The sequence below is a fragment of the Homo sapiens genome, chromosome 13, assembly GCF_000001405.40.
Source record: "Homo sapiens chromosome 13, GRCh38.p14 Primary Assembly".
Lineage (NCBI taxonomy): Eukaryota > Metazoa > Chordata > Mammalia > Primates > Hominidae > Homo > Homo sapiens.
Window position 1 is genome coordinate 59664493 of NC_000013.11, and position 13726 is coordinate 59678218.

General features: G+C 38.1%; 1 protein-coding gene across 5 annotated transcripts in view, besides 1 other annotated feature; it reads right to left on the bottom strand.

Annotated features, from left to right (window-relative positions):
- The window catches only part of DIAPH3 (diaphanous related formin 3), a 498346-nt gene continuing 485710 nt past the window's right edge, over positions 1091 to 13726 (bottom strand). For all 5 annotated transcript variants that reach the window (NM_001258368.2, NM_001258367.2, NM_001258366.2 and 2 more), the window contains one exon: positions 1091 to 2354. In NM_001258368.2, coding sequence (NP_001245297.1) covers positions 2092 to 2354 — 263 coding nt within the window. In that variant the 3' untranslated portion in view covers positions 1091 to 2091. The remainder of the gene's footprint in view (positions 2355 to 13726) is intronic.
- Positions 8828 to 9329: an enhancer, noted in NCBI's record as "NANOG hESC enhancer chr13:60247454-60247955 (GRCh37/hg19 assembly coordinates)". NCBI's record gives its function as "activates a minimal SCP1, AML or CMV promoter by ChIP-STARR-seq in naive H9 embryonic stem cells {active_cell/tissue: H9 hESC(naive)}" and the evidence as "EXISTENCE:reporter gene assay evidence [ECO:0000049][PMID:30033119]".

Below are 13726 nucleotides of genomic sequence, written 5' to 3' on the forward strand. Positions count from 1 at the left end.
TGCTTATTCAAAAAAATAAAATTGTACCTCAACTCCTGCCCTCAAATTAAAGGTCAATGCTATGGTTTGGCTAAGGAAATATCATGCATTTTAAAACCCTAATCATACCTCTAGCCCATTGCTGAAAGGGCATCTACCAATAAAAGTATCTCCAAATGATCGTTCCTTGAGTTGGTACTCACCTTTATCAGACATTTAGAGGTTTCCTTTCCACAGCTATGGTCCTTTTTGGAGCCAGCTGCTGTCATCAAGGGAGAGAGAGTGCTGGCTGCTGACCTGTGGGTGGCCAGACGCTTCTGATACTCTGCTAGCCTTGGGCTCCTGGCCCTCTTGCTTGAAAGTTGTCCTCAGCCCCTGCAGACAGACGCTCTGGGGCTTGACTGCTCCATTTCTGGACTTCCTTGCCTTCCTCTGCCCCTCGGAGTCTCCGTCATCTTCACTTTCCTTTATTTGCCGGGCTTCTTCTCCCCCGTGGCTGCTCCCCGGTCCCAAGTTTCCAGAGTTTTTACCTGCTTCCTGGTGTGCCCAAACTATCTAGTTGAATTTAAGTTTTGTTTCTGAAAAACCCAAGTCTGCAAAATCACATTAAGAACTGATAGTGAGAGTTCTTTCATTTAAATTCTTTCCTAAACAAAACAATCCTGCCTTGTTGTTAGGGGTGCCGTCAGCTTAAATATGTAAATGTCCTTCACCTTTCTTGATTTTTAAGGTTTGTTTTCAGAAAAACAGGAATTGCAACTGGATGGCAAAATGCACATTTCAGCAATACATACAAATTCACATTTATTCCTACACTGGCTACAGAGAATACTCTGTTCTCCAATGTCTATAAACAGGGCCTGGCTCATAGTTCTAATTAATTAACTTTATTAACTTAGAGCTGAAAGGAGGTGGCAACTTAAGGAAATAAAAAGCAATAGACCTTGCCCGACTAGTTCCATATAACTGCTTTTTAACTGAAGGTAAAAGAACAGTCACTTACTTATTACATGTAATAAAGCAAAATAGATGCTTAGACAGACTGCATAGCACAGTCTATTCTCAGCTTATCCACAGAATGTTTTCAAAAAAAGAGAGACAAAAGAAAGCATTTTTTTTCATTTAGTGCAAGTAGCAAGTTTATTTCCTTTGATATAGAATTAACAGAGTAATGATGCCCAAATGAGGTAATATTACATTTGCTTAGGAAAACTTTCCTTGAAACACTTATTTAGATCTTTGTTAAAGTTATTGATTGTCAGATCAGAGAAATTGCAATCCCAAGTTTATTCATAAAATAAAAAAAGTTGTTACTTTGGAAATTTCAAAATGGCAATTTTATCTCAGAGTCATAATTACAAGGGGAAAAATACTCTCTTAGCCAAGATCAAGAATTTCGGCAGCACTGCAATTCTGTTTACATCCACGTTACACAAAAGCACATGCATTTGGCAAAGAGAGTGCATACATTCTTATTGCATCATTTTTCGTTATGTGCTCAATTGCCTTATGGTCCCCTAGAGGGTCTACTTAACATGAATTCAACAATGATGATAATGGGGTCACCAGTCATTTCCTTACATATATAGCTCTGATGTATTCAATTACATGTTTTTGATGTTGTGCTGGTAGTATATAGATCCCAATTAAGGAGAAACTTGGGCCTATATAAACAATATATATGGAATATACATGGATATGTAAAGACTTGAGGTTGATGACCTGACATCCATTAATGTTAAAAATAGTAAAGTAAAAATTCCAGTGGCTTAGAAAGATGGTATTTTCTTAAGGACACACTGCTGAACACATGGCCACCTACCTGCTCTCTAAAGCAATATGTATAATTTAACCACCAAATAAAGAACTGAGGAATACCAGGAGACAAAAAAAAAAAAAAAAGGATTAAAGCCCGGTACAATCTTGAATAAACCAAAACCTCCAGTACATAGAAAAAGCATTGCAATCATATATTTAGCTTTATTTTTCTAATATATATCATAATTTAAAACTATATAAAGTCACTTACATAAAAGCAATTTTTTCAAGTGTTATAGTTTAGAGCATGGCTTTATATTTGGCTTAATCATTTTTTTTAAAAACCAGTTTAACTTATAAAGCTCGTAATCTTGCCAGCAGGGCTTCAACTTCGGGAACTGATTCATTTTTAGAAAAAGAGCCAAGAAGTTCCGTTTCCTTTTTTCTGTTGCTTTCTACATTACACGCTTCCTTCTTCTCAGCTGCCTTGATCCTCCCAGTAGACGTATGAGTGTCTAGATTATAATTAAGCTCCTTGGCGACTGGAGTCCTTGTTGAGTTGCAATTGATATTGTAGTGTGAACGTGACCCTTCTGTCAACTGCACTTTCTGATTTTCTACAGTAAGGAAAAAAGAAACATAAAACTTATCACCATGATAACCAAGGACTGTGCACGTTATGAAACACATTTAAAATAATTATTCTCAATAAATAAGTAGTCTTCTTAGATAGACTAAACAAAGAAACAGTCAACAGAGTAAGACAGGTTTAAAATAATCACACAGGGGTTTAAGAATAAACTAAAATATAACAGCCAACCGTTTCATTAGCACTAATGCCCATTTCCTTCTTCCTTTATGCCTGACATGCCTGTCACGTGGTTATTATCAGGGCCTGGTCCCATATTTCTTTCAGGTCTCTGTTCAAACACCACCTAAAAAGAGAGGCCTTCCCTAGCCACCCATCTAAAATAGCATTTGCCCTTTGCACTGCTCTATCCTTCCCCGTCATGTTTTCCTTCACAGGGCACATGATGGCTGGACACACAATATATTTGCTCACTTGTCCATTGTCTGTCTTACTAGAATGTGTGCTCCAAGACAGTAGGGACATTATTTTAAATACTGCTGTAACTTCAGGGCCTAAAATGGCCCTGGTGCAAAGTAGGTCCTCAATAAATATTTGTTGGATAAATAAATAATTTCCACACTCTGTGACACAAGATTAAACATTAGCTTGAATAATAATGAGATTAATTTCCTTTTTGAATGAAATCAAGAAGGAAAGTTTCTAATAAGAATTTAAAAAGTCGATTATTTTCCTTTAAAGAAACAATGAACTTGGCAAGCAAATAATTAAAACTTCCTAGCAAACCAGAATGTTATATGTAATTGTCAAGTATATACACATCTATACATACATGCATGTACATATATACATACACACATACATTCTTTTATTGGTAAGTGATGGTAATGATGACTTTTAAAAAACAGACACCCTCAATATTCATGTAACCTTGAATGGGGCTTGAAAATGGCTTCAACAAACCTGACATGACATTTAAAGTTTTTTGGTTATTCTCTGAGAGATGTTCCATTGTCCCAATAGTAATGACTTTGGAGCACAAGCAGTCACTCATGACAGTGTGTTTTATGTGAGTGCTGAAAATTCCAACTGAAAACAGCTTGTACATTAAAAGGTGGCTGCTGAAGATATTTACTGCACTGTCATTTTCTGACCAGAGGCTTCCAGTGATGGATGAGGATTTTACACACTTTCTTGGACAATCTCAACAAATTTTAGAAGTATGATCACCTTTTAGCTGCTGGAAGAAAATAAATACACTTTGTCTTTCACCTTCTATATCAGGTGGGCAACTGTTACTCAAAAATCAAAATCTAATAGAGCAGTGATTTTCTCTTAAAGGAGTGTATGCTCTGTAGCTTATAATGTACATATTGTGTTTGCCGGAAAGAGCACGGTAGATGTGGTATTCCTGCAGTTCCTATGACCACATCCTTTTCTTTTCTAGCTCCCACACCTCTGTCCCAAAGAATGCTTGAAAACTGCATTTGCAGCTAAATGTAGAATGTTGGCCAGCTTACTGCTCCTTCCCCAAAATGTTCCTATCTTTGCTTATTTGATTTCCTGCAAACCACTACATCATGATGGTATCTCCAACAAACCAGTTTATTCTGCTATTGGACAACTCTAGTTAAAAGTCTAATGGCAAAGAAGAGATTAAATTAGCCAAAATATGGGTATAGAATATGAAATGTGTGTGTGCGTGTGTGCGCGTGTCCATGTATGCACTCCAAGAAAGTAGGGACATTGTTTTAAATATTGCTATAGCTTTAGTGCCTAGACCGTCCTTGGTGCAAAGTAGGTGCTCAATAAATATGTGTTGGGTAAAGAAATTATTTCCATACTCTGTGACACAAGATAAACTTTAGTTTGAATACTAATGACATTAATTTCTTTCTTGAACGAAACCAAGAAGGAAAGTTTCTAATCAGAATTTTTAGTCAGTGGTTTTCCTTCAGAGAAATAATGAACTTGGTAGGCAAATTATTAAAACTATATATATACACATATATATATATGTATGTATACACACACACACACACACACACAAAACACATACATACATACCATCTTATGAATAGCCTGTATTTTGTTGCACTTCAAACATTACCACCCTCAGCATATAGATTGAGGGGTAAAAGCAAAAGGAGGTTAAGTCATTTGCTTAGACTTAGTTACTGAGTAAATCGGTGGTAGACGCCAAATGCTGTCTCTAGAGATACTGAGGCTGTCTTCAAGAAATCTGAAAACCCTTTTGCCAAAGGAAAGTGCTAAGTAATTCAAAGCTAAGTTTCATAATAATGGTGTCCTGCACTTATACTTCAAAATGCCTTCTAACACACTGAATTCTCGCAACAGCTTTGTAAAGCAGATAGTACACCTATGTAAACTACCTTAACACAGTATATCCAAGGTCACACATATCCTCCATTTCTTTCCTGGTCTCACTTAGATTCATGACTATGAACTTCAAAAGCATGACCTTTAACCCACTACAATTCCCTAGTCCATTCACTCTTCCATTCTCCCAGACAACTGCTCCACACCTTCTCCACTCTTTGAAACTTCCAATATGTCCTCCCTCTCATTTAACTCACTCATAGAGGTGATCAGAAGAGAGCTCCTGCACGTGCCTCACCCCTTCCCCAACACCTATTATCTGCCTACTGCACACACATACATCCGCCCCTCCTGTTAGGATGAATCAACCTTCCGAGCTCCCCTCTGAGGACAGCCCTCAAGGTGAGTGACGGATGTGACTTTTGCTTGGATGTGACTTTTGCTTGTCTATTCAAGGACATCCCTCTGGCTGCTTTGCCCTCTCTCTGCTGCATTGTAAAGGTTTCTTTCTCCAGGTGCTCATTCCCCTCAGCAGAGAGGCTCTAATAATCATAAATTTATGAGGTGGGGGGAATCTCTGTTTGTCTCCACATCCTGCTCCAGCTATCTAAATTCTTGGCTCCCTTTATAGTAAAATACCTTGAAAGAATTGCCCATACTTACTCTCTTAATTCCTCGCTCCCTATTTTTCTCTTGAACCCACTCCAATCATGCTTTTGACCCTTTACTCTTCTGAAACAGTTCTTGTCAAGGTCGCTAATGAACATGCATGCTGCCAAAAACAAGGATTGCATATCTATTTTGAATGTCTTAGTACTCCTTGATCTATACCAGATCCAAGGATGAAATGCCTAGCATTTCCTGGGTTTTTCTTTTAGCGTTTGGTCTTTGAACTTCTTTGGAGACAAAGGTAAATAATAATGGATGGGCCAAGGCAGGCAAAAGCATTTCTATCCTTTTGAGAAAACTCAAAATAGCTGTGGGCTTGCTTTAGGGACAAAATGATAAGAGAAAAACTAAGATGGTATTTATCTCCTCTGTGGTTTCAGGTGAGGAATCTTTCATGAGAAGTAACAGACAAGACAGTGTAAAAAGGAAAGAGGCCATTCCTGAGACCACTGAAGAAATAAAAAAGAAAAGTGCACAAGAGTTTTTTAAAAGATGTTTATAGCTTTCTTAGAAATTCCTAGATAACAACTCTTCATTCCCAGCCCTCACATTAGCTCTCAGCACCCCAACAGCCCCCATTCTGGTCCTCACCTTCTTTTTGGTTTGTCTCCAGACATGGGAGACCAAAACTGTAGAAATGAGCAAGTCAGATCTTAAACTGCAAAGCAGATAAATGAAGCTGGACAGGAGGAGTTGCCTATCCCACTATAATTAGAGATAGTGCAGGTAGAGGAAGTGCTCAAGCTGGAAGTTCACTTTTTTTTTTTTTTTTTTTGAGACAGTCTTGCTCTGTCGCCCAGGCTGGAGTGCAGTGGCGGGATCTCGGCTCACTGCAAGCTCCACCTCCCGGGTTCACGCCATTGTCTTCCCTCAGCCTCCCGAGTAGCTGGGACTACAGGCGCCCGCCACCACGCCCGGCTAATTTTTTTGCATTTTTAGTAAAGACGGGGTTTCACTGTGTTAGCCAGGATGGTCTCGATCTCCTGACCTCGTGATCCGCCCGCCTTGGCCTCCCAAAAGTGCTGGGATTTCAGGTGTGAGCTACTGCACCCGGCCGGAAGTTCACTTTTTTAAAGCCTGGCAACAAAGCCAGGCTGGGGATAAGCTATCTACCCGCCTCAGCGTCACAAAGTGCTGGGATTACAGGTGTGAGCCACTGTGCCTGCTGACCCCAGAAGTTCACTCTTATATAGAAATCTTATTATAATGTGTCAAGGCCAGGTGTCTTTTGTTATCACCATTATTTTAAAGTTTGTTATTGGTGGCTTTGTGTGGGCTGGAGACCTAAATTCCATGCAAAAACATGCACTTAGTTTCTAAATGGTTGACTTTCAAACAACAGAGTGATCCCACAACCTTGTAAGTTGGAGAAAACTCTATACTCTACCAGGTGCTCAGAGGCATAAATAAATTGTAATTTGAGGCAGGTAGGCCAATTCTTTTCATATGAAGTTAGACAGTTACAAATGCAAGATGATACCTAGGACATATGGACTCAATGAAAGGTAAGGCTGGGGTATCAATAAAAAGACAAGCGTTTCTATTTCTCAACTCAACTCTTCACCATACACACTTTTAAATGGAAACTAAAAATATTAAGGCAAAGAGGGATGATTAATTCTTCAAGGTGAGGAGTTTGTTTTATTATTTTACAAATTGAATCCTAGGCCTTTTTTTTCTGTTTAAGATATTACAATTGATCTCTATGTGCAATATATCTAGGACTACTGCCAATATTCAGGGCCACTGTTGATTGTAGTACTGATAGGCAAAGAACCAGCTGCTATTCTTAGTACCAATTCAGTAAGAAAATGCAATCCACACATCTTGTATTTGTGTTTCTGTGGAAATAAACACGATGAGAATACATGCTATTTTCCTTTAAGATAGGAATACTTACTCATTTCAATTTAATTCTTCATAGGATTCTTACTATAAGAATTGAATCTAGAGACCCACCACAGCTTTTTCTTTGAAACTGAACTAAAAGTTGAACGTTGTTGGAGAGCTGAATGCCTCTTAAATACTGATACCCACTGGACTTAAAAATGAGAATAAAGGCCTTAAACTACATCTAGTGTTGGGTCCCACATGATCTTTGGCAGAGTATAGATTTGGATGACAAAGAAAGCTTAAAAAAACTCATTCATCCTGTGCTAATATTTCCACTGTTTCTTGAGAAACACAAAAGACACAGGAAACTGGGAAAGTTGCTGACAAAAGAATTATGTATATATATGTGAATATATGCAACTTGGCATCTAAATGAGGAAATATTTCAGCCAACAGTTGTTATGCTTCTTGAGCTAAGAAGGCAAGGCTAACTAAGGCCCTGGCGGACGGCCCTTGGGGAAGACTTCTCTGCTGCAGGAAGTATCAGTTATGGTTCAGAAAGAGGCATTATTCCTTTGAAGTTAGTATTGATCCCCCCTCACATTGTGGTTCTAATGGGCACTGGCTTCTTAGGAGTGCCAACTCTCAGATGAAGTATAAAATTGAGCTCCTGTCTTTTGTGGTCAATGGTGAGTTGTGGCAGCCTTGACAGGAGGAAGAATGTAGAACTCTGGTGTCCTAAATTGACTCCATCTATTCAGTGTTCCTGAAATTTGGTCTCTCCTCGCAATTCTTTACCTTTTGTTTTTAACTATTACTTTGACCTACTAAGTAGCTGTTTTGTTTCACCCCAGCAATGGCTTTACTTTGGTGAAAGAAAAAGAATCACTCATAAATATAATTTTAAAGCACCACTGGGTCTACATGATAGTAAAGTGTGTGACAAATATATGTTTTTAATCTATGCAATAACGGAAGTTAGTGGTGGCCGCCAGCAGCCCATATCCCTGTGGTTTTCCTTATTGCTGATTTACTGATGCTATTAATAATTGTCTTCCTTTGGTTTCATTTCGCTGTTTATCTTATGTATTGAAAATATATAAAAATAATTCAAAGAGCAAAAGGTCATTTTGCATATAGTTAAAATCTTTTAGGGGTGCCAGAAACTCTTATTAAAACAAATTATGTAAAAACAAACAACTAAACAAAACAATACTCCCCCTATCTAAACACAGTATGCAAAGCAGAATATAATGATATCTTTGAATAGAGGAAACAACTGATGAAGAACTTTATTTGCAGAAACTATTATATAAACTTCTATTCATTCTTGTTCTGTATCACTATCCTTTAAATAAAATTCAAAGACAGTACTGCCATTTCACAGTTTCCTATGCTGAGTTTTTCTAATTGAGTGTAGGGCTACAAGGAAGCTCAAGATGACGCAGGCTCTGTGCACACAACAACCAGGATAGGTTCAGCCTCTAAAGAGAACAGTAACGTAAACTCTTCTGTTTGACTGCTTATCTTCCTGATTTGTAATATGCTACCTGAGTTGGATACTCTTTTCCATATCTGCTTTCCTCTTTTTCATCTCTCCCCTCAATTCTTAGCAATTCTAATTTGGCTTTCATCCATACCTCTCTATTGAAATTGCTCCTTACAATATTACCCAAAGCATCGAAATTCCTAAACTCAATTGCATTTACTCATGCCTCTTTTTTCTCTCACATTTGCAACATTTTGGAATGTGTGTAATAAAGAATTCATCTGGTCTTTGTCCCAGTCCCTGGGAGGTGGCCTCTAAAGCCTTGGAATTTTGTATTCATGTTGGGCCCCTCAGATGAATAGTTTGAAACCCTAAACTGATAGTTTTTGCTAATGAGGTAACTCATGGTGGGCCCCTAGATAGTTTATAGTAATGAATGACTCAGGATGGGGGTTAACCAAGCCAGAAAGACCAATCATGTGATTAGAGGGTTGGGGTTTTGAGCCAAATGATTATCAGCCTGATTTCTGAGTGAGAGATGGGTACGGGAGCTTGAGCTCAATCATGTGGCTGATGATTCAACTAATTGTGCCTAAGTAACAAAGCCGCAGTGCAAACTCAAGACACTGATGTTCAGGTGAGTTTTCTGGTTGGTAATCCTCTGTGCATCCTTACACATCAATGTGCAGGGAGGCTGATGCGTCCCTAAGGACAATAGGGGCTTCAGGTGTCTCTCCTTTGGCTGTTTCTGATTTGTATTCTTTTGCTATAATAAAGCTGTAACAGGAAGTATAGTACTTTCCTGAATTCTGTCATTCTAGCAAATTATTGAATTTGAGAGGGTAGTAGGAAGCACTGAATTTGTAGCCAAGTGATCAAAAGTGAGGGTAACCTAGGGACCTCAAATTTGCAGCTGGTACTGAAGTGAAGGCAATCTTTTAGAGGACTGTGACCTGTGAAATCTGGCTTAACTTCAACTAGCTGGTGTTAGAAGTCAATGTAGAATGTTATTTGTGACTTTGAACATTATTATGGCATAATATCGATATGATCATATTACCTTTATATATGGCTATTCTATAGCTTGCAAACACTTTCCCCATATATCCACTCATGTGATTCTTATAACAGCCCTGTGAGATAGGTAATATGGGTATATTTAGTATATTTACCTTGTTTGACATAAAATTGAGAAAGCAGACATAACTTTCAGGCAGAGCCAGAGACAGAACTAAGTCCTCAGACTCCTGGTTAACATGCTCTATCATGATATTGCCCTTGACTGTGCTTACTCTTCTACTTTTCGATGATTCATTTTAAACCTTCTTTGGTAATTTGTGCTACCTTCCCAACCTCTACCAAACAATCATAACCTCAACGTGGCCATTTCTCACAGTTACATCTTTGGCCCTCTTTTCTGCCCTTTCTACCTTCTCTCCATCACGATCTCACAGCTTCAACTATTTCCTCTAGGAAGAAGACTCAAATCTGCATTTCCAGCCCTGACAACAGAGCTCCAATACCGTATCCACCATGGCCTCCCTAAACATTCCTACATATGCCCTACTACTACTTCAAATAACACATTCTCAAACCACACTTTCATGCTCTTCATACTAACAGACTGAAACCAACCATGGCATCTGTTTATCAGTCATGCTATCTGTTATTGACAGCTGTCTCAGACTACTAAGCACTTGTGGTCACCTGGAGGTGGCTTGGCAGATATTAAATAAATATTTCTAAAGTGTGTAATGGCTTGTCAGCTAATAGATACCAGGTCAGAAGTAATTTGATCAGTTGATCTGGTGGTTCATAAGGGAAAGGGTAGAGAAATAATACAGGGATATGGTTTGACAGTATACTTATTAAACACATACTACATACCTGATAAAACTTTTACATGCTATCTTTTTTCATTTTGTTTTTAGAGACAGGGTCTTGCTCTGTCGCTTGCTCAGGCTGGAATGCGATGGTGCCATGATGGCTCATTGTAGCCTTGAACTCCTGGGCTCAAGGTATCCTCTTGTCTTGGCCTTCGGAGTAGCTAGGTCTACAGGCACGTATCACCATGCCTGGCTAACTTAAACATTTTAAAAATCGAGACGGGGTCTTGCTATGTTGCTCAGGCTCACCTAGAACTCCTAGTCCCAAGTGATTTTCCTGCCTCAGTTTCCCAAAGTGCTGGAGTTACAGGTGTGAGCCACTGTGCCTAGCCTTTACATGCTATTTTTAATTTTTTTTTTTTTTTTTGAGACGGAGTCTCGCTCTGTCGCCCAGGCTGGAGTGCAGTGGCACGATCTCGGCTCACTGCAAGCTTCGCCTCCCGGGTTCATGCCATTCTCCTGCCTCAGCCTCCTGAGTAGCTGGGACTATAGGCGCCCGCCACCACGCCCGGCTAATTTTTTGTATTTTTAGTAGAGATGTGGTTTCACCGTGTTAGCCAGGATGGTCTCGATCTCCTGAGCTTGTGATCCACCCGCCTTGGTCTATTTTAAAATTTTTACAACAATCCCAAAGTGCAGGTATCAACAAGCCCATTTTGTAGATAAGGAAGTTGAGGTTTAGAGAAGTCCATGAACTGCCAAGGCCACACAGGCTTTGCTATTTGCCTCTGGCAAATTCAGTCCAAATCGTTGGCCCTCATGGTTCTGGGGGAACATGATTAGGCCATGGCAAATAGACATGTTGTGAAATGGAAAAAGCACTTCCCAAGGATGAAGAGGCTGGGGAGAGGTAGATTCCGAGTGCTAATAACTTGCGAGCTGTATTAGAAACTAACTAGCTAACTATTTTTAAATACTTTAGGACTAGAACATATTTCTGAAGCCATTTCTAAGTCTCATCACATAGTGTGCTTTTAAGTATATTTCCTTATTTCTTATACTTCTTCAACATTTATTAGACATTTCGAATGCACAGGTATTTCTTCTGAATAACTTATGCTATTTCTGTTTCATTTCATTTTGATTCACAGAATCATGTAATGTAGAATCAAATGGAAAGACCCCTTGTTACTTGGTGGAACCACCTAGCCAATGCTCGAATTACATTTAGTTAGCATCCTATCAAGTAGCTATCCAGACTCAGTTTGAAGACCTCGAGTCATTTCCTCACAATCTCATCAGGCAATATATTCTACCTTTGGTCAGCTCTAATAATTACATGTTTTACCTTAGATTTATCCAGTGTTTGTTTCCCTGAAATCTTAGTCACTGGCTCTGTTGATTTTTTCCATTAGGGCTGTATTAAATCCAATTCCTCTTCCACCCACCAGCCCTTCAAATATTTGAAGACAGATATTATATTCTCTCAATCTTTTCTTCTCCAAGCCAAACAGCTATAGTTTCTTCAACTGTTCCTTCAGTGATCATGAGTTGAAATTATGGTTAAGTCAGTTCATTAGTTAATTCAGTGAGGGTTTAGCCCACCATGCCAGGTGCTAAGTTTTTGAAACATTTAAGATCCTGTCATTTCTATAATGAACATGCAAAACAATATTCACTTAGTAGTTCAAAATTCTGGGGAAAAGCTAAAGCTAACTAGGGTGTGCAGTACTGTAAAACAATACAATTATATGTTCATAGACTCCTAAAAAATTTCCATGTAGACTTAATACTTCAGGTTGATTTTTGATATGCATTTAATAAGAATCTGCTTAAAATAATGTTTTTATTCATTAGAGAATTCAGTCCTGGGATACATTTGTGTTTATAACTGTTTTATAACAAAATAATTTTATGTATGACTATATACATAGAAATGTTCCTTTACTTCTCCCTGGCCTATTACTACATATATACTACATTAGCCATATCTAAACATAGCAATATGTTCAAGTAGTAAGAAATCTAATTCATATCCATCTAATTGTGACCTAACTTGATAGAACATAAGCTCTATGAAGGCAGGTATCTTGTTTTATTCACTGGTGTATTCCCAAGCCCTAGCACAGTGCCCACCTCATAACAAGTTCTTGATAATTTATTTCCTGAGTGACTAAACCCAAGCATGGCATGATTTTATTACCTTGCTTCACTTAATGTTTTAAACTAAACCTTAAAAAAAAAGGGAACACTTTGGAGTAATATTACCCAGATACAGCTGATGACATAACATTTTGCTTTATTGTACATTTTTTTGTGCTTTTGGGTCCCTTGAGGACTCAACATTGAGACTAGAACGGTACTGTCCAATAGAAATTTAATGAGAATCACAAAAATGGGCTATACATGCAAGGTAAAAATTTCTAGAAGCCACATTAAACATTGAAAAAAAAAGGTGAAATTAGTTTTAATAATATATTTTATTTAATCCAATGTCAAATATTATCACTTTGACATATATATAGCAAAAATATATTAATGATATCTTTGGCATTTTTTTGTACTAAGCCTTCAAAATCAAATGTGTATTTCATACTTACAGCAGATCTCTATTCAGACCAGCCACATTTCAGGAGCTTAAGAGCCACACCTGGCTATTGTCTACTGTACTGGACAGCACAGATCTAGAACCTGGAGTTTTTCACAGTGCTATTACCTATACATTATGTATTTAGAGTTGAATATGTATATATTATAAACAAGTGAAAATGAATTGTTCCAATATTTAGCATTTTATTGTGATTTTGTTTCATATAAAGAGGAAGGAGCAGTTATATATTTCTAGGTAAGTTGGATTTAGGTAGCTTCTGTGAATGGCAAAATAGACAAAGGCTAAAGATTAAAAATATACTCACAAAATCTGAATGCTAATAATGCAAGCCTACTGTTGCTACTGTCTATGTTTTGGCATCTGTTTATCCAGCCATCTAGGCATGGGGAGACTGGGTTACCGTTCAGAGACTCTTCTACTTTTGCTTACTAGTTCTGTACATGTTTTAGTAAATCCATGAAAATTAGGAGGATCTAACTTATTAAATCTAATTCTCCTTCCTTTCAAAATGAGAGTGACCTTTATGCTATTCTCCTATTCGTATTGGATCAGGACCTATGTGGGGGTTAGGTTCACAGTGTTGCCATTATTAGAAGCTGACGGACTGGCCTTTTTTTATTGTTCTATTCATA